This window comes from Homo sapiens, chromosome 1 (genome assembly GCF_000001405.40).
Source record: "Homo sapiens chromosome 1, GRCh38.p14 Primary Assembly".
Lineage (NCBI taxonomy): Eukaryota > Metazoa > Chordata > Mammalia > Primates > Hominidae > Homo > Homo sapiens.
This window is the reverse complement of record NC_000001.11, coordinates 149,651,437-149,671,454: the sequence shown is the minus strand read 5'-3', so window position 1 is coordinate 149,671,454 and position 20,018 is coordinate 149,651,437. Positions and strand designations below refer to the sequence as shown.

The 20,018-nt window shown below is 42.0% G+C and overlaps 1 long non-coding RNA gene across 1 annotated transcript in view; it reads right to left on the bottom strand.

Annotated features, from left to right (window-relative positions):
* Positions 1-20,018, bottom strand: part of LINC00869 (long intergenic non-protein coding RNA 869) — a 72,512-nt gene that overhangs the window by 8,069 nt on the left and 44,425 nt on the right. Inside the window, exons 3-8 of the long non-coding RNA NR_111950.1 lie at positions 15,547-15,756; positions 10,366-10,601; positions 10,036-10,153; positions 6,809-6,934; positions 6,322-6,373; positions 2,145-2,266 (exon numbers count right to left, since the gene is read on the bottom strand). This is a non-coding gene — a long non-coding RNA (long intergenic non-protein coding RNA 869). The remainder of the gene's footprint in view (positions 1-2,144; positions 2,267-6,321; positions 6,374-6,808; positions 6,935-10,035; positions 10,154-10,365; positions 10,602-15,546; positions 15,757-20,018) is intronic.

Below are 20,018 nucleotides of genomic sequence, written 5' to 3'. Positions count from 1 at the left end.
AGGGTTCCTCCATGTTGGTCAGGCTGGTCTCAAACTCCCGACCTCAGGTGATCCTCCCAAGGTGCTGGGATTACAGGTGCGAGCCACCACGCCTGGCCAAAATTAAAAATTTTCTAATTGCAATTCTGAACAACTTATGGGTTGTGAAATCAATATAGTGGACTGCTTACTACTACAGGCTTTATTTAAATACCAGGAAGGGTGGATTACACATAATAAAAGATTTTTTAAAAACTGATCACAAAGAATTGTGTATTTCTCACTGTATCTTGTGGTCAGAAAAGTTTGAGAAACTGCTCCACATAGGCAAATTATAGGTTCAATCTATCCATCTACCTCTTTTTCTCTTCTCTTTTTTTCCATGCTATGCAAACAAGACCATGGAGAGAGGAAGGCAAATTCCATCAATGGATGGGGTTAAGCCTTTTCTATGAGGTAGCTGCACATTTGGGACACTCCTATGCTGGCGACTTGACATTCTAGTAGATAGATTGTCCTTTTCATCTTTAGCTACATGTTAAAATTACTTGGGAGCTTTTTAAGACTACTAGTGTCTTCCACCCACCTGGAAGCATTTAAATCAGAATCTCTATGTGTAGAGTCCAGGCACTTGTGTTAGTTAAAACCTTACCAGGCTTTATAATATGACAGAATGGTTTAAAGCTACTGAGTAGACCTATCCTATTTCCCACCATTTTCTTTGTTTCTCTTTCACCATAGGCTTCTTTCCCATGAGAAAGTAAAGATTTTAGTCTCTCTTTTCACAGTCCGAAGTAAATCACTATCTTTCTCAATTGGACTTCCAAGGCAAAGATTTCTCTCCATTTACCTATCTGGATTTTTACAAAGTTGGCCTCTGGATTCCCTTTTCCCAAAGCTAATTCACCACAAACGCACCCCTCAAGTCAAGGAGCTGGGCTTTCATACACCTGCACCTGTCAATCATGGGTAAATACTTTGCAGGCAGGGTTGCATGTGGGATTGACATAAACTGCCAGGTATTGCCAGCTCTGAGCCTCAGGCAAGCTTGTGACTAAGTGACTCCAGTAGTCTGAGGACAGTCCTTACTCAGAAGGGTCTTTGGAAGCAAAAGCAAACATAGGCATGAGAGGGTAAAAAAAAAAAATCCCATGTGATTTTGGCTTATACCTAACAGAACTTGTGCAAGAATGGATATTAAGGTGGGTATTGTACACAACAGAGCTTAGTAAATACCAAGCCTGCAGTTTAAGGGATAGGCTGAAGAGATTTTGCAGGTTTGTAAACATTTTTGCCAATTTGAACATACTTTTGTTTGCGTTTGGTTTTTCTCCTCAGTGGTAAGAGCTAGGCACAATAAGGTAGCTAGGATATTATAATTTCAATCAATAAATTTTTATTTTGCCAAGGACCAAGATGAACTACGATGATTTCAATTATTTAGTACTTTATTTTCATCAGTTTGAAAATTAGGACTTTTGCTCTTTTTTGGCTCATGGCATCTTTTTGGATTTCACACTTTCTCAAAGTCCAGTAACTTAGAATCTAAATTATGATTGCTTATTCTTTCAGTATTCTAGGGGAAAGTTGATTTAATCTTGACAAAATGTATTCAATTAAAATAATTGTTCTCTTAAATCTTTTCTGTCTTTCTTTTCTTTTTTTTTTTGAGATGGAGTCATGCTCTGTCACTTAGGCTAGAATGCAGTGGCGCAAACTTGGCTCGCTGCAACGTCTGCCTCCTGGGTTGAAATGATTCTCCTGCCTCAGCCTCCTGAGTAGCTGGGACTACAGGTGCATGCCACCACGCCCAGCTAAGTTTTGTATTTTTATTAGAGATGGGGTTTCACCCTGTTGTTCTGTTAAATCTTTTCACCTTTTAAGTTTGTCCTTCTCCTCTCCAATTTGCAATAGTGGGGTGTGGCTCACACTGAAATACTGTATTTCTTAGAGCTACTTATTCCTGGAGCCTGGCAGTCTGGGGGCCTGGAGGGGGTGTGTCTAGAAAGCAGCCCTCTCTAAGTTGAGAGTAACTATGAGAATTGTGGGTTATAAGGTTTTGAGCAGCTCTGGCCTCCCCGTCCTCTTTTATTTCTACAGTGGAGTGTGGCAAGAGAAGAGACCCATCTGAGAGTGACTTCATATTGTGGCCTTTCACCACTTACCTCTGGAAATTTGATTCAGGCAAGTCGGGGGAGTCTCCGGTATTCTTCTCTGAGAACTCTGTTTTCATTATACAGCTGGACAATGGAATCTATGATTTGCCTGTAGAGGTTAGAGGTGCATCCTGTTCCAGGAAATAATTACAATTTATGCAAGTTATACACGTTTGCTTAAGAGAATGCTTTCTGCACATTTCATGTTCTTCCTCTCTATCTTAGCCTAGGGAGAAAACCGTGGAGGGCTGGAACGTTAGTGTGATGGGGTGGAAGCTTAATTTTCACATGATTCTCAACAAATGCCAGCACATCACATGTATTATCATGTCCAATGGCTGCAATATGAAGGAGGCTTTTCCAAAATAGTTACTGCTTTGGTATGGGAAGGGACCTGCTTATGGTTATTCTGGCCCAGCACAATGTTATGAAATGATGGCCTCTGTGTGAGAACAATCTAAGAGGAGGGGGGTTGGAGAGAACCACCTTGGGGTGGTAGAATGAAGAGTCACCAAGACATAAGGGAAGCTGATGAGGATGGCAGCAGAGGAGACTCTCATTCTGCTATGTGAGGTGCTCAGAAACCTGGGTTCTACTGAATGCCAATCACATAAGAAGCAGAGAGACAGCAGGCAGTGTACAGCAGCAGACAGAAGACAGCAGACAGCTTAGGAATCACAAGAATGATTTTAGAGGTAGATACCTCTAAGATGAAGGCAAATCTTTAAGCCTATTTATTTACCTATAAATAGGAATGATAGTAGCTGCCCTGCCTCTCTAGCTGGGACATTTGTAATGAATAAGTGAAGTAAAGTATGTCAAAGTGCTTGAAATCTATAAAACTCTGCCCCAGTCACATGCCTTTAGAAAAATACATATTGCCAGAAGCAGGCTGACTTGGGCCTCTCCTACCATTTTCTTCATCAAAGCTGCTGTGATGACGTTCTAGCTTTTCTCACAGGCAGTTGTTGATGAAAAGGGTCTCCTTCAGGTGCTGCCACTGGCTCTGGATCTCATCTTCTGCAGCCATTCCACCAGGACATGGAATGAGATGGGAAGTGAAGATACTGATCACTAAAGGGATAGTCAGGGGTCTCTCGTCAAGATCCCTGCCTTTCACCATTCTTTTGCCAACTTCATCTTCTCATCAGGGAACATAAGGCAACTTCCTTTAAGAGCTTTTAAGGTTTCAAAGAAAGCATGGCCAAGTGCTAAGCAAACTCCACAGGGATGCCTCCCACATGGAGATATGGGAAGTATAAGGCAGGTTGACAGGAGGTGGGAAAACACTGAAGGTCTCTGAGTAGGGCTTTTCTAGCACTAGAAAAGGTATGACCACCTCCTTGAGATGACTTATAGGTACTAGGGAATATCTTCCTCTCTACAAAATATCTCTCCTGAACATATTTTGTTTTTGTTGTTGTTTTTTGACAGAGTCTCATTCTGTCACCCAAGCTGGAGTGCAGAGGCACCATCTTGGCTCAGTGCAACCTCCGTCTCCCAGGTTCAAAGGATTCTCATGCCTCAGCCTCCCAAGTGGCTGAGACTACAGGCGTGCACCACTATGCTTGGCTAATTTTTGCATTTTTAGTAGAGACGGGGTTTCAGCATGTTGGCCAGGCTGGTCTTGAACTCCTGACCTCAAGTGATCCACCCACCTAGGCCTCACAAAGGGCTGGGATTATAGGTGTGCGCCACCGTGCCCGGCCCTGAACATCTTTAACAGATGGTAAAGACCTTCTTCTGCACCTTACTGTGAAATTGGAAAGAGAAATAAGGATGCCTTTGTCAGAAGATGGTATGACTAATTAAAGCCACAAACTTACACCCATCACTGACAGAATGACAAGCCTAATATGGTTTATATTACTGTGAAAGCTCAATGAGTGAATTAATATAATCTCTTTTTATTGCATAGAAGAGTATACAAAGCATATAGTCTCCTAACAATCCAAACTTTTGCCCCCAAAGTAAAGTCAAACATTCAAGTAAGGGAGAGGAGATATAGGTCAAGGTTTTAATCTATACACACACCAGAGAGGCTACCAACCTAAAGGGCTCTTATATACCTAAAGAAGCTCCAATGGCTAGCGTGGAGCTATTCTGGGAAGAGGGCATGCTGGTGGCATTGCTCTTAGATTCAGCCTTTTCTCCAGCAGATAGCCTCGTTGTTTATTTAGATTGAATTACAACACTGAGACGAAACTAACAGACATCTTAAAAATACCTTGGTGCTGCACAAAGATTGAGAACCCTGGCTATTTACCAAAGGGTTGCCAAGATCAAAGTCTTGTCTTTATGGAAATCCCCTGATATTCCAGTAGTCAGATGGAACCTTATGGGAAAGCAAGCACCTGAGGGGAGATGGAGACTGGAGCTTGAAACCCAGGAACCATTATAATTGCACCTCCAAACATATGGACAAGCCTGCCAACATTCTTGGGATGGCTAGAACAGCTTGGGAAAACTGTTCAGGAACTATAATTATCAAGAATATTTCAGGAAGGCTGGGTGCGGTGGCTCACATCTGTAATCCCAGCACTTTGGGAGGCAGGGGTGGGTGAATTGCTTGAGCTCAGGAATTTGAGGCCAGCCTGGGCAAAAAGGCAAGAACCCATCTCTACCAAAAAGGCAAAAAAAATAGCCAGGAGTAGTGGCATGCATCTGTGTTCTCAGCTACTCAGGAGGCTGAGGTGGGAGGGTCATTTGACCCTGGGTTTTAGGTTGTGGTGAGCCAAGATCATGCCACTGCACTCTAGCCTGGGTGACAGAACAAGAGACCCTGTCTCAAAAAATATATATATTTCAGGAAAGATGAGATGTCCCATTTTAAAGAAGAAGATCTGTTAAACAGATTTGTACATGCGCGGCAGTAGTGGCAGAGAGTCTGCCATAATCTCTTCACTCTCTCCATTCTGGCCTGCTTTGAGTATACCGGCTTGCAGATGCCGGTCTGGACCAGAGGGACTGAGGTGAGGACAGGAACAGAGCAAATTACCTGACCCACCAGGGACCTGTACTTGAGAGTTGATCCCAGAGCTGTGTTCAGCCTAATCAGTTTTTTAAAGTGAATGTTTAGGGCCTGCCTGCAGAGAATAACATCTCTCAGTTTAGACAGAGGTGGTGAGCATGTAGAATGTAGGAGCTACTGAGAGATTGATGGAGCTTTATTTTTCTTATCAAAGGAGCACTTACTGGCTATTTCCACAGCCAAGGGGCCTTCCTGTGCATCAAAGAGGAAGGCATTGCTGCTGGGAAGCTGGTGGGAGTCATGGCAGCTGGAATGAGTCAAATACTGTTCATCTAGTGAGTCCTCCAGGACTTCATCCATTTCTTCCTCCTGGACTTCCCTCTTGAGCCAGGTGAAGTAGGCAAGACAAGGGATTAAACCAAGGCAGCCTGGAACCACATAGCTAGTTCTGATCTGAAGCTCATGGAAGAGGCACCAAAACCAAAGGGACCATCACATCAAAGAGGAAGTATACAGTCCACTTTTGACTGGGAGTAAAGTGTGCCTAGAGTTAGTATAGAAGTGAAAAAAGCAAGTGATCAGTGCATTGACCTCATAACACACAGATAAGGCAGCAGACTCAACAACTACTCTACAATACGCTCAGGGCACACAGGACACACAGTGACCCATACTGTCGGCTTCAAAATGCTGTGTTTAAATTTTATTTAATATGATGTGGAGTGGTCCACTGAATACTGGCTCTTGAGACAACACAACCTCCCAGGGCTTTTGCAGATTTTAGACCCCTAGCTCTAAATACTTGGTATGGTTTCAATTTATTTTTCAAGGTTAATTTCTGGCTATAAAATATCTGCCAACATAATTCAGGACAACTGTGCAGAAACCAGATAGGCATCTCACTTTGGTTTGTAACCCTATAGGTTTTAAAGATACAGAAACCAGGGATCCCTGGTTAGTTTACTTTTTGGTAAGACTGACTGGTTAACTAAGTGTGAGAAATTACTAGGAACTAGGAACCAATACAACAACTGCAAAGAGAACAGAGAACCATTTTTAAAAGGACACATTGTATAATCAGTCAACAAAAAAAAGAACAATCAGCAGTTTCTGCTTTTTCTAGATCTGGGACCTTTAACCTCTTGAGTCCTTGCTTCTGGAATTCTCTCTAGATTTGGTCAGTCCATTATCAGCCCCTTCATCATATAGAGTTACCTGGGAGCCAGTGGCTTTTGCCTGTCTTCATTTTTCTTACCATTGTGATTTTCTGCAAACCAAAATTACAAAGACTAGTCAGAAATTAAGCAGGTCCCATTTCACACATTGCACACATGGGCCCTATATGATCAGGGACATAACACCTTACATATATGTTCAGAATACTCTGTGAGATTTATTGCAGGAGGCCTCAGGTGGTGTCTTTAGAGAAGTGGCCTGGCAGGCTTGCCTGAGCCCACTGGACAGGGTGTTCCTGATGTGGTGAATCATCACCAGACGTCAGCTGCCTGAAGCAGAGCAAAAAGTTTAAAATGCCTTTTGTTCCCCAGCTCAAAGAATACTTGCCTGGCTGCCCTTTGGACTTCTCCAGTTGTAACCTTCCTTCCTGCTACAGGCTGGTTGCCAGACCACGACTGTTTGTCCCATTGCTACTCACACACAGAACCTGCTCCAGTCTCTGAGAGGACAAATAGCCCTGTCCTACCTCTACTCCAAAACCAGAGGACTGCCCAGGTGCCTTCAAGTCTGTCCCTGTTGTGCTTCCTCAGATGTTGTTGGGGGTAATTCTTTTTTTTTCTTCTCAGTTTGTTAGTGAGCATTGGGGTTGATTCTGTGAAAAATATTCCAGTATAAATCAACTTTTCTAACACCAGCTTCTACTATATACAGTGCCTGAACTAACCCCAAAAGATTTGGACGGTTTATTGGGACCCAAAAATAAAAAAATAAATAACCCTGAAAGAGAAATACACTCATGAACATTAAGATACTACTTCAACTGATCTGTACAGCAGCTGTGGAATTATGATTTGACCCACTTTACAAATGGGGAAACAGAAATTCAAGAAGGATCAATCACTTGCACAAAGTTAGTAAATACAGTGCTGAGACTAGAGCCTAGGTAATGCTGATTCTTAGCCCATGGGTCTTCCCATTCTAACAAGCTGCCTTCTGTCATACTGTTCTTTCTGACCACAAAGATGGAATGGAGACTTCTGCTTCTGGCCAATTTGGAGTAATGGGGACCTGATTTGTCCTCCACCTTAAACAACTGAGAAACTGGAAAAAGTATTTTAAACTCTACCTTCAACATTGGATATAGTGCAGTACTATAATAAATAAAAGAGGTGAGCCCTATGATTGCTCCAGTTTGCTGCCTGAGATTGTCAACTGTAGAGCAGGGAGGGAGGACCCAGGCAGAGCCTGGTAGTAAGTTTGAAGAAGTCAGGGTGGCTAGACATCACAGGACAGACTAGAGAATAGGTTGCTGCACAGATAGAATGCCTTGGATATCTGTCTTCAATCTTCAGCTAAGTACTGATTAGTACATGTATTTGAGGAAATTATGCAAAGCAGGGCAAAGAACTTCCCAAAAGGAATAATCTCTGTAGCTCACACATAGCTTGCAACACTTGGTGTTTCCATCAGCTAGAGTGAAAATCCCTTTTAATAGAGGGAGCATTGGTTAGAACAGGAGTCCCCAACCCCCAGCACTGGTCCATGGCCTGTTAGGAATGGGACCGCACAGCAGGAGGTGAGCAGCCAGCGAGAAAGCATTACCGCCTGAGCTCAGCCTCCTGTCAGATCAACGATGGCATTAGATTAGCATCGGAGCACAAACCCTATTGTGAACTGTACATGCCAGGGATCTAGGTTGCATGCTCCTTATGAGACTCTAACTAGTGCCTGATGATCTGAGGTGGAACAGTTTCATACTGAAACCACCCAATTCCCAAACCCTACCACCCCACCCCCACCTTGTCTGTGGAAAAATTATCTTTCATGCAACCAGTCCCTGGTGCCAAATCTGTGGGAGATCACTGGCTTAGAATCTTCAAAAGAGTATTGCCCCCAATGTAAACTATGGACTTTGTGTGATAATGACATGTCAATGTAAGTTCATCAACTGTAACAAATGTGCCATTCTGGAGAGAGATGTTGATAGTCTAGGAGGCTATGCATGTGTGGAGGCAGGGGGTGTATGGGAACTTTCTGTACTTCCTGCTCAATTTTGCTGTGAATCTGAAACTACTCTAAAAAATAAGGTCTATTTTCTTAAAGGTCATTTTGCCTCCATAGTGGGAAAAAAAATAGCAGTTGACTAATAGCTGCTCTTATGCTGCCTAAAAAAAATTAAAAAGCCAGCTTGGAAAGATGAAAATTGTTTTTAAGTAACTTTATTGTATACCAAAACAAAGCTCAAAGAATGTTAACACAAAATGCAAAAAAATCCAGCACCCAATAAGTTACAATGCTCAATGTCTAACCCCAAATAAAATAATGTTAGGAATGCAGAGAAACAGAAAACTGTAATCCATGATAAGAAGGGGGAAAAAAATCAATCTACTTAAACTGACTTAGAAAGGACACATCAGGTGAGAATTAAAAAACAATAAAAAGGACACAGATGAGAGAATCTGTAGATAAGCACATTGAAACAAATATAACTGTATACGTTGTATTAAAGAAGCTAGGCCAGTGTGGTGGCTCATGCTTGTAATCCCAGCACTTTGCCAGGCCAATGTGGGTCACATGAGGTCAGGAGTTTGAGATCGGCCTGGCCAATGTGGTGAAACCCCGTCTCTCTGAAAAATATGAAAATTAGCTGGGTGTGGAGGCATGTGCCTGTAATTCCAGCTACTCAGGAGGCTGAGGCACAGGAATCACTTGAACTCAGGAGGTGAAGGTTGCAGTGAGCCAAAATCTCACCACTGCACTTCAGCCTGGGCAACAGAACGAGACTCTGTCTCAAAAAATAGAATAAAATAAAATAAAGAAGCTAGAGGAAAATATGAAATGATGAAGAGATACATAGAAGACCTTAAAAAAAGACATAAATTAAATTCAGATGAAAAATAAAGTCTGAGATGAAAATACACTCGATAGGATTAACAGCAGATTAGATGCTGCTGAAGAAAGATTAATCAATTCCAAGACATGGAAATAGAAAGAAACAGAGAGAAAGAAAAGATACAACAAAAATGAACAGACCATTAGTCAGCTGTGGTAAAATTTCAAAGCAGCTAATACAAATATAACTGGAGTCTTTGAAGGAGAAGATAGAGAGAAAGAATAGAATATACATTATATATATTTGATGTATGTATGCCAAATATAATATATTGTATATGCCATAGGTAAGACTATATATGTCATTATTATTCAAATTTGATGAGAACTATAAGCATGCAGATGCAAGAAACTAAATAAAGTAGAACAATATGTAAAAGAGAAAACTATACAAGGTCTTATCTTAATCAAACTGCTTCAAACCAGTGATAAATAGAAAATCTCAAAAGCATCCAGAGAAAAAAGACATATTATGTACAGAGAAACAGAAATAAGAATTATGGCAGACTTCTTGTTGGAACAGTGTAAGCCAGAAGACAGTGGAATATCACTTTTCAAACACTTTTTTAAAACAAAAACTGTCAACTAGAATCCTACATCCAGTGAAAACATCTTCCAGAAATGAAGGTGAGTTCTTATGCTCATCAAGATGAAGTAATCCACTATACTCTACCTCTCTTACTGATTGAAACTAAGAACTCTCCGGCCAGGCACAGTGGCTCATATCTGTAATCCCAGCACTTTGGGAGGCCAAAGCAGGTGGATTACTCCAGCTCAGTAGTTCAAGACCAGCCTGGACAACAGGGAGAAACCCTATCTCTACAAAAAATACAAACATTAGCCAGGTGTGGTGGCACACACCTGTAGTCCCAGCTACTTGGGAGGCTGAGGTGGGAAGATTGCTTGAGCCCAGGAGGCACAGATTGCAGTCAGCCAAGATCATGTCACTGCACTCCAGCTTGGGTAAGAGAGCAAGACTCTGTCTCAAAATAAAAAACAAAACTTAGAATTCTTGAAAGAATATGAAAAGTGATTACCTGAGTGCTCTAAAGAGAAAACAATAGAATGCAGATTAAGGACCATAGTCAAAACTAAAATAAAATCTATAATGGAGATAAGTTTGCATTTTTTCTCCCCACTTTGGGGCACTTGGGAGGAGCTAAGGGTCTTCAGAGCCTGTAGCCAACTTACCTGTGGCAAGTTTTCTGACAAGGATCTCTGTCAGCTGGCTTCCTTGTACCATTTGCTCACAGAATCTCTGTCTCTGGTAGTAGGCAATGTCAGTGTTCCTGAGAAGGCCCTCAAAAGACTTGACTGTGTTCTTCACATGCTGGGTGAAAAGGTAGCAGACACCTCTCCCTTCCTGTATCTTCTGTCGTAAGTGGGTCAGTTCTTCAGCCTGAGCCTGAATTAAGGGATCATGTATCCTAAGGTGGGAAAGAAGAGTAAAATGTATGAGGGAATGTAGTGAATAATAGGTTATAGAAGTTTCAGAGGAGAGATCTCTTAGAATCCCTGTAAGGAACTCCCAAGTTGAATTCTTTTTTTCTTTTTTTTTGAGACAGGGTCTCACTCTGTTGCCCAAGCTGGAGTGCAGTGATGTGATCTCGGTTCACTGCAACCTCCACCTCTGCCTCCACCTCCCAGGTTCAAGCAATTCTCTTGCCTCAGCCTTCCAAGTAGCTGGGACTACAGATGCCCACCACCATGCCAGGATAATTTATATATTTTTTGTAGAGATGGGGTTTTGCTATGTTGGCCAGGCTAGTCTTGAACTCCTGACCTGAAATGATTCATGCACCTCGGTGTCCCAAACTGCTGGGATTACAGGCATGAGCCACTGCACCTGGCCCAAGATTAATTCTTGTACAAGTTGTGTGACTTGCCTGTGGAAGAAGGAATGAAGAGGCAGCCTTGGGTTTGTCTGTTATTTTACTAAATTTCCTTTAAAAAGATGCCCCTTTGGTTCCCCACTTTAGCCCAAGTACCTTTTCATATGCAGTAACTGGCAGAAAAAAAAAAAAAAAAAGCCAATTTCAAAACTGTTGGGCCGGTATCTCTAGTATTAATTGAAAGTTAAAAAGAAAAATCAGTGAAAAGGTCAAGAGGGGCAGTGTTCTTCTGAATGACATGAAGATAGACTATAATCAGTAAGAAGGCAGTTAAAACTAAAGTTCTGGCCGGGCACAGTGGCTCACGCCTGTAATCTCAGCACTTTGGGAGGCCAAGGCAGGCAGATCACCTTAGGTCAGGAGTTTTGAGACCAGCCTGGCCAACATGGCGAAACCCCATCTCTACTAAAAATACAAAAATTAGCTGGTGTGGTGGTGTGCACCTATACTCTCAACTGCTGGGGAGGCTGACCTAGGAGGATCACTTGAACCTGGGAGGTGGAGGTTGCAGTGAGCTGAGATCACACCACTGCACTCTAGCCTGGGCAACAGGGTAAGACTCCATCTCAAAAAAAGAAAAAAAGTAAAGTTCTGAGTAGTAATTTCATTACTCTGTGGGGATTTATTTTTTTTCTAATTATTGTTTAAATATTTCTCATGGTGATATGGTTTGGCTCTGTGTCCCCACTCAAATCTCATGTTGGATTGTAATCCAACCAGGGACCTGCTGGATAGTGACTGGTCATGGTGGTGGATTTCCCCCTTGCTGTTCTCATGATAGTGAGTGAGTTCTCATGAGGTCTGGTCGTTTGAAAGTGTAGCACCTCCCTCTTTGCTCTCTCTCTCTCTCCTGCTCTGGCCATGTGAAGACCATGCCTCCTTCCCCTTTGACTTCTGCAATGATTGTAAGTTTTCTGATGCCTGCCCAGAAGCAGAAGCCTGTACAGCCCACAGAACCATGAGCCAATTAAACCTCTTTTCTTTATAAATCACCAATCTCAGATATATGTTTATAGCAGTGTCAGAGTGGACTAATACACATGGGTTCCAATGTAGAGTGTGAGCTCTGTGAGTCTAAAGATAGTGCTACCTATTACCCAACTTACAGCACCCGGTAGTATGTACACATACAAGTAGTTATTCAGTTAATGTTTAGAACCATGTAATCCCAGAGCTAGACTGAACATTTACAGTCATCTAACCCATCTAATGCTTGAATTTTCTCCCCACCAGTCTTCTAAGTAGTTATCTGCAGGTCCTCTTTCAAACTCTATTCCTTAGAGTTACTAGAAAGTGTCAGGGGAAGTAAAGACACATACTGGGGAGAAACAGGGGCTCCAGACCTATCCCGCCTTCAATCAAATATCTCTGCTTTGGTGAGTTTTACAAATTTGAGCTTCTATGATTTCATTTCAACAAAGGATTAAAAGAAGTTTCGAATGCTACAATCTACCTTATGTCTGAAACCCTCTAAGGATAGTCAGTGCTGGTCCTGAGCGAATTAATAATTCATTTTCCACACAACAGCTGCTCAATCATCTATCTACCCAATAGCCCTACCAGTTAATACTCCACCTAGTATAATACTTTTTTAAAAAGTTTGGAGGAGAAACATTGTTATCATGAAAGGCACTTTGGAAAGTTTGAAAATATCTCTTATAGAAAATATTAATGACAATCACCACATCTATAAATGGGAACAAATATAATAATTACAGAAAATAGTTGTTCAGAGTTTTATATGTGTTAGAGATGGTTCTAACTACTTGCAATTGTGCATTTAATCTTCATAACCCTCTAAGTAGATACTGTCAGTATTTGCATTTTATAAATGAGGTAGCCTAGGTTAATGACACGCAGAAAAGTGAAGTAAATTTGACCAAGGACACACAAATAGAAGCCACATTGCTAGTATTCCAATGCAGACAGCTGTCTCCATTTTACTAATATGCTATTTAATGGAAAACCCCAGAGACCTAACTAGACCATAGCCTCATTGTGTCTTCGTCTAGTTCTGTGCCTGAGTCATACATTTCTGCCCTTCTCCTTGCACAAATTTGCTCTTTGTTCTACCAGCCTGAGCTGCCCTACTTCAAACAGTATTTATGCACTTCCCACAGAGGTACCTCCTTACCGGAGCCTTGCAGCTGACCTCGGCAATTCGGCCAGCTCCCTCTCCTGAAACTGCACCTCCTCCTCCAGCACAGATTCTATAAGGTCTTTGCACTCTTCACACTCTGAGAAAAGATAGACATGCCTGCATCATGGAAGGCTGGCCATGCTGCTGTGGTCACTGCCTGCAGGGCAGGAGGCAGGGTCTATCTCAAGGATAAAAGTATCCCCAGTACCAGGCTTTACGCTGGGATTTCCATATCTGTATTCCTCAGTCTCTCAACTACTCCCTGTTTTAGAGATGAGGAAAGAAAAGCCTACAGGCTGATAAAGTCACTTGACAAGATGATTCAGCTGGAATGAGGCAGTCAGAATTCACATCCCCTGAGGTCTGACGCCACATCTTTTTCTTTTCTTTTTTTTTTTCTTTTTTGAGATGGAATCTCACTTTTTTGCCCAGGCTGGAGGGCAGTGGCACAATCTCGGCTCACTGCACCTCTGACTCCCGGGTTATTCTCCTGCCTCAGCCTCCCAAGTAGCTGAGATTACAAGTGTGCCCCACCACACCCTGCTAGTTTTTGTATTTTCAGTAGAGACAGGGCTTCACCATGTTGGCCAGGCTGCTCTCAAACTCCTGACTGCAAATGATCCACCCACCTTGGCTTCCCAAAGTACTGGGATTGCAGTAAGTGAGCCAATGCACCCAGCCATGACTTCAAATCTTAAGGCCAATTTACCAAGCCTTACAGCCTCTTAAGTAAAACATGAACATAAGGGCATGAAATAATGACTTCCTGTGTGTTTGGGAAGATACTAAGAATGGTAGGACTGATGGTCCTCCTGTGTCAGGAGTTTCAATAATCCCAAAATATTTCAAAGATTTAAACATTTATCTGTATACAGCTGTGTAAAACTGTATATAGAGGAGAAAGATCCAAATGATATGTGCCCAAAAGCTAATAGGTGGTGTTTTAAAGGGAGAACCAACACATAGTGTTTGTCATGGTACTGTTGCAGTAGGTTTTTAAGAATTATCATCATATGATCATCACCACCATCCAAAGAGGTAGTTCCTATTCTATTACCATTACAGATGAGAAAACTGAGGCACAGTGATGATAAGTTAGATTTGAACCCAGGAAATTTGGCCCTAGGGTATATGCTCTTTAATCACTGCACAATAATACCTTTATACTAGGGTCTTAGGTAATATCTTTCTTCTTCTCTAGCTTGAGAAATTTTTTTCCTACAATTATAATGAGTGAAGGTTTTTTTTTTAAACTAGTTTTTCCACACACCAAAGCTCATCTTTTCACTTCTTTAATAAGAGGGCTTTTGGCTTTACTTTTCTATGACAGTAAGTTACACAGCAACTTTTAGCCACCCCCCCACAATGATGTATTTTAAAATAATTGTAGAAATTGGAAAACAAACTCAATTTCTATGTTAACAAGAATCCTCTTCTAATATCCCTGTTCCTCTCATGCCCTTGTTCCCACGTTTCCTTGTCATTACAGCTTCCCTTCCCTGACTATTAGTAACAGGTTTGGGATTTTACAGTGGATTTAAAAATGTGAGAGCTAACTGTGGAGAGGAAGGGGCCAGCCCCTAACCTGGCCTGGCCTTCTATTGAGAATGGTAGTCTGTTCCACTTGGCCTTGTTCTCATTTTGGCCATATGTCTCATAGCTCTGATCCTGGATGTCCACCTGCAGTTGCTTGCTGTCTGTAAAGTTGATACTCAGAGAGAGACAGAAAGGGTGTTACAAAGTCTCTGATTTTTCTGGAAATACCCTCAATCTAACCAGAGCATGAGGAATGGCTTATCTGAACTTTTGTGGGAAGAGAATCTTGATCCAGGTATCATAAAGACTTTTTTCCGTGTCTGCTATTGAAGTTCACATCTCCACATATCTGTGACTCAGTTGAGAATAGCTAGTTTTAAGTTCCTTCAAGGCAGATAGGGTATACTATTACTTCTATCACCCCTGATGCTGTTGGCACAGTGCTTTGCAAATGGGCGCTCTTAAAAAAGTTTAAATCGAATCCTGAGATGTTTTAACCAACAGTGATGTTACATGTTTGTAGAATCTGATATTCATTGCTGAGAGGGGAAAGACAGTTTCACGCCTAAACCGAGGTTTTAGTCTCTATTCCTCACTACACTCGCCCTGCAAACTTTACACCTTTGTGCCTCAGTTTTTCTGTCCTTGGCAAATTGAGAGTAAAAGGCCCACTTCTACCTTTCTGGGAGTGTAGTTAGCATAAAATTAATTTTGATAGAGAATAAAGTCCGCAGTGTTTCATTTCACAGAGGAAAGATGGGCAATCATTTATCACTTCGGTGACCATGCCCCTTTGGGACCTACTATATTTCTGCAGGTGATTGGCCAGGGAGTAGGCAGTAGCTTTGGATGTCAGGAATTTCTCTGTGAGGTCTTGGAAGTTCTGTTTGCACTTTTCCAGTTCAGAGCGGAAGTACTGATTGGTTTCCAGGATGCTCATTTCTGCCCTTGGACCAAAACAAGTGGTGAGAGATACTGCCATGCTGAAGCTTGTGGAGAAAGTACAATCAGAGCCTAGGGAGAATAAACCCAGACAATTAATAAATTAAAAACAAATGCATGGATTATGGTAATGGTTGCACTACTTGGGTAAATTACTAAAAATTATTGAACTGTACAATTATAATGGGTAAATTTTATAGTATGTAAATTATACCTCAATAAAGTTTCTTTACATTAAATGAAGGGTTTAAACAAGTCAAAAGAAAGCAGATCTGATTCATAAATTACCTTTGGGATAAACTTTGTCAGCATCCTACAACTCTGAGAATCCTTAGCCACAAAAACAAGGCACAAGGTGCCTAAGCTTAGAGTCTAAGGTACTGTCTGTGACTCAGGCTCTGATAGGAATGTCAGAAATCAGACCCGGTGCCAGGTAATGGTCTGGAGTCACAATAACAGAATTAGAAGGTGGGGTGTCATGGAATGTTAGGATCTCTGCCTTCCAGGTGTCTAGGCCATGTGGAAACACAGGTCTCTTCTGAAGGTCACCACCAATGGAGAGCACTGCCTCAGCAGTCATTCTCAGTATTTGTATACCCTTGTGACAATACCACAGGCCTATCTCTTTCTAAAATTTAACCATATTTTCATTGTTTATTATTGCAAATGCATAGAAACATCAAGGAATACATATTTCCCCAAGTTCTATCATTGTCTTAAGAACTGTCATGAAGTCATTTTCTTTCTAATGAAAAATTTAACACTTTTAGATAGTCTTGGTGTTCTTCTTTGGTTCTCCAGTTTTCCACATCATTTATATTATAAGAAAAAAAATCCTGAATATTCTGCTCAGTGCGTGAATAATTGATTTATATGGATTTAGAGGCTAGGTGCAGTGGTTGACACCTGTAATCCCACCACTTTGGGAGACCAAGGTGGTTGGAGCACTTGAGCTCAGGAGTTTGAGACCAACCTGGGGAGCACGGCGAAACCCTGCTTCTACAAAAAATTTTTAAAAATTAGCCAGGCATAGGGCCAGGCACGGTGGCTCATGCCTGTAATCCCAACACTTTGGGAGGCCGAGGCAGGTGGATCATGAGGTCAGGAGATCGAGACCATCCTGGCTAACACGGTGAAATGTCGTCTCTACTGAAAATACAAAAAATTAGCCAGGCGTGGTGGCGGGCGCCTATAGTCCCAGCTACTTGGGAGGCTGAGGCAGGAGAATGGCATGAACCTGGGAGGCAGAGCTTGCAGTGAGCCGTGATTGCGCCACTGCATTCCAGCCTGGGTGACAGAGCAAGACTCCTTCTCAAAAAGAAAAAAAAAGAGAGAGAAAAAAAAACAGAAAATAAAGGTTTTGACTACCTGAGTGGCTTTATTTGTATAACAAGGCCACCTTTGCTAGCCAAACCAAACTAAAAAAGTGATGGTTGTCACCTCATACCCCAGGCTGCAGTTCGGTAGCTAAGGTTCTGCTCCTTTTTTCACCATGACAACCTGGGTTCGGTTCCTAAATCAATTTCTTTCCAGTTTGATATTTGTGTTACTTTTGAACATTTTTTTTCCAGGGAGCTTTCTTAGCAGGATCTTTGTTGGCTTTCACCCCAGCTGTTAGAGAACAGCTTGACTGAATTCAAAATCCAGAAGGTCAGAGGGTATCCTGGGAAGATGGTGGAATGAGAAGCACCTGGAATCTACACAACAACTGCACGGGCAGGATCTGTCAGATGTAAATATTTCAGAACTCTGGAGCCTACTGAAGGCTTGCAACTTCCAGAGGAAGGCCCAGATGGTAAATTGTAGGTAATTTCAGTCAATTTTGGCCCTTAGCACAATAGCAGCTACCCAACACTACCCCCAAGGCAGTCAGCTTGTGTTCCTACAGTAAGCTGCACACATCTTTCAGGATCCAGAATGGGCAAAAAGAATGCTGTCTCCAAACACTGGGGGTCTGGGCCAGGTGCAGTAGCTCATGCCTGTAATCCTAGCACTTTGGGAGACCGAGGTGGGTGGATTACTTGAGGTCAGGAGTTCAAGACCAGCCAGGTCCACATGGTAAAACTCTGTCTCTACTAAAATTAGTCAGGCATGGTGGCAGGCACCTATAATCCCAGCCACTCAGGAGGCTGGGGCACAAGAATCACTTGACCCAGGAGGCGGAGGCTGCAGTGAGCTGAGATCATGCCACTGCACTCTAGCCTGGGTGACAGAGAAAGACTCCATCTCAAAACACACACACACACACACACACACACACACACACACACACACATTGGGGCTCTGTTCTCTAATGTCTGATTGCAGCACAGAGACAAAGAGGCTGGCAGCTACTGCTGTACCTTCCCCCATTGTAGCAAGCTCCTCACCCTAAGCTGAAGCAACTTCCAGAAAGTTTAAAGGGATGGTACCCTTTTTTCACCCTCCCTCAATTTTTCTCTTTTTCCCCTTTTGGGAGCCAGACATTAAAGGATAAAATATTCAAGAATAACTGCATATATAGGTAAAATTAGGGAGTGACCACACACCCAGGGAAAAGTTCAGGCTCAGAAAACATCTGTGAAGACCATAAGTTTATACCTCAGGCTGATCCTTGGCATAGAGACAACCTACAATAATCAAAAAACAAAACAATAACAGAAAAACAGCAAACCCTGAGGAAGGAGGAGAATCTAATTTCTGGAGTTAACCACACTAGTAGATTCAAATGTCCAGTTTTCAACAACAACAATAAAAATAAATAAAAAAAAATGAACCAACAGAAACTCTCACTGAAAAATGCCTGATAGTCAAGTTAAGATTTGGTCATGGGGGAAGAAAATGAAAAGAAAAATAATAAATAATTAAAGAGAGAGAGAAAAAAACAACCTGCTGGATGTGCTACTTGACAGACTTTGAAACAGGTGTCTTAAAGGTACCCAAAGAACTAAAGGAAGATGTAGCATAAGACAAGAAAATAATGCATGAACAAAATGAAAATATAAATAAAGGATAGAAAATCAAAAAAGAAACAAAAAAGAAGTGCTGGATCTGAAAAGTAAAATAGGTGAAATAAAAAATTAACTAGAGGGATTCAAAGTCAAATTTGAAGAAAGCTGAGCAGGCAGAAGAAACAATCAGTGAACCTGAAGATAAGGCAATGGAAATCATCCAGTTTGAGGAACAGAAATAAAAAAAAATTGAAGAAAAGTGAACAGAGCCTAAGTGACCATCAAGTGGACCAACATATGCATTGTGGAATTCCTTTTTTGTTGTTGTTGTTTTGGGGGTGGGGGGTGGGGGGATGGAGTTTCGCTCTTGCTGCCCAGACTGGAATGCAATGGCGTGATCTCGGCTCACCGCAAACTCTGCTTCTTGGGTTCAAGCGATTCTCCCACCTCAGCCTCCCGAGTAGCTGGGATTGCAGGCATGCACCACCATGCCTGGGTAATTTTGTATTTTTAGCAGAGACGGGGTTTCTCCATGTTGGTCAGGCTGGTCTCAAACTCCTGACCTCAGGTGATCCTCCCACCTCGACTTCCCAAAATGCTGAGATTCCAGGCATGAGCCACTATACCCAGCCTTGCATTGTGGAATTTATAAAGAAGAAGGAGAGAGGGGCAAGAGAGAATATTTGAAGAAATAATGGCTGAAAACTTCCCAAATTTGATGAAAGACCTGAATACAAACACAGTAGCCAGGCAAACTCCAAGTAAGATAAACTTAAAGAGACCGACACCAAAACACATTATAATCAAACTTTCAAAAGTCAAAAACAGAGAATCTTTAAATCGGTAAGAGAAAAGCAACTGATCACACGTAAGAAATCTTTAATAAGATTATCAACAGATTTCTCTTCATAAACTTTGGAAGTTGGGAGGACAGGAAATCAAAAGCTGCCAATGGCCAGGAGTGGTGGCTCACATCTATAATCCCAAGACTTTGGGAGGCCAAGGCGGGCAGATCACTTGAGGTCAGGAGCTCAAGACCAGCCTGGCCAACATGGCAAAACCCTGTCTCTACTAATAATACAATACAAAACTTAGCCAGGCATGGTGGTGGGTGGCTGTAATCCCAGCTACTTGAGAGACTGAGGTGGGAGAATCACTTGAACCTGGGAGGCGGAGTTTGCAGTGAGCCGAGATTGCACCACTGCACTCCAGCCTGGGTAATAGAGTGAGAATCTGTCTTAATAAACAAACAAACAAAAAGAACAAAAAAAGCTGCCCATGAACGGGAAAAGGATCAATAAATGGGTATTCCAAAAAGTCAAAAGTCACACAAATATCAAGCCAAAATAAACTGGTTCCCTGACTGGAAATTGAACCCAGGCTATGGCAGCAAAAGCACAGAAC